The sequence below is a fragment of the Homo sapiens genome, chromosome 2 (assembly GCF_000001405.40).
Source record: "Homo sapiens chromosome 2, GRCh38.p14 Primary Assembly".
NCBI lineage: Eukaryota > Metazoa > Chordata > Mammalia > Primates > Hominidae > Homo > Homo sapiens.
Genome location: NC_000002.12, coordinates 137,928,537 through 137,929,851, shown reverse-complemented (window position 1 = coordinate 137,929,851; position 1,315 = coordinate 137,928,537).

Sequence of the window (1,315 nt, the reverse complement as noted above, 5' to 3'; positions counted from 1 at the left end):
CAATACACTGTTTGAGCTTGGATTATAAACCACTGTTTACTCTCACAGTGTCTGGCAAAAAATAGGCACTCTCATTTTGTTTTCAACAGACAGATGGTGTTTGCCCTTCTAGAGCTCAAGAAGGAGGGTGATCAAGCAAATAGGCTTAAGCACATTTTGAGAAAAGCAACATGGCGCACAGCCCTGGGGCAAGACTATGTCGGGCTCAGGACTTGAGTCTGTCATTTACTAGCTGTGTAATCTTGAGCAATTCACTTAAATATCCTGATCTTCATTTTTTTCCTGTGTGAAATGACATTAATAAACAATGTCTGTAACAAGAAATGTAAAGGCCAAATGTAAAGAAATGTAAAATCCTAAGTCCTGCATGCCTTCTACCACTGGTCTAGTCACATGTGCCAGCTGAACATTCCCTGGGCCGCAATTAATGTGACTGATGGTTTTATCCCTGGTTTTCCCAGGGTGAAATCTAGACACAGGAATCCTGAAAAATGCCTCTGTGGAAAGATAGATTGAAAGCAGGTCTTCTAAGGGAAGCTGCAGAATGTTTCTCCCTCAGCCTATAGTTTGACAGAATGATAAGATATCAAGATGAAACCCTGAAGACCTGAGGATTTTTCACGGATTTCATTATTCTATTGAAGACCTAAAAAAAAGTGGCTAAAAAAGATATTTTTAGAAATTGCTTTAATATGGTTTTTATTAACATTTATTTAATTAACTACATAAAATCTGTATATAAAAGAGGCAAAAGTTTATTCTTACTCTCAGCCAGACAGTTGCTGATAAGGTAGTGTTGACAGGAATCTCCCTGACTCAACAACCATAAATATGGTTGGAATGTGGTATTTGCTCTTCCTGGAAACAATGCTTCCCACTTACAGAGTTTGTATTCAATATGGTGTTAATACATAGACCTCATCCAACTATCTCTCTGTGGAATCTGAGCTCCTACTCAAGTCAATATCCTATAATATGCTAAACAGAAAACCTCCTGTATTAGTTTCCTGAGGCCACCATAACAAAGTACCACAAACTGGGTGGCTTAAACAACAAGAATGTATTCTCTCACTGTTGTGAAGGTCAGAAGTCCAAAATCAAGGTGTGTTAGTAGGGACACCCTTCCTTGGAAAGCTGCAATCCTTCCTTGCCTCTTTCAGCTTCTGATGGGTCTTGGCATTTCTTGGTCTGTGGCAGCATAACTCCAGTCTCTGCTAGAGTTTACAAATGGCCTTATCCCCTGTGTCTTTGTATTTTTCCATCTTCTCATACGGACACCTGGCATTAGATTTTTGTGTGCACCGTAAATCCAGGG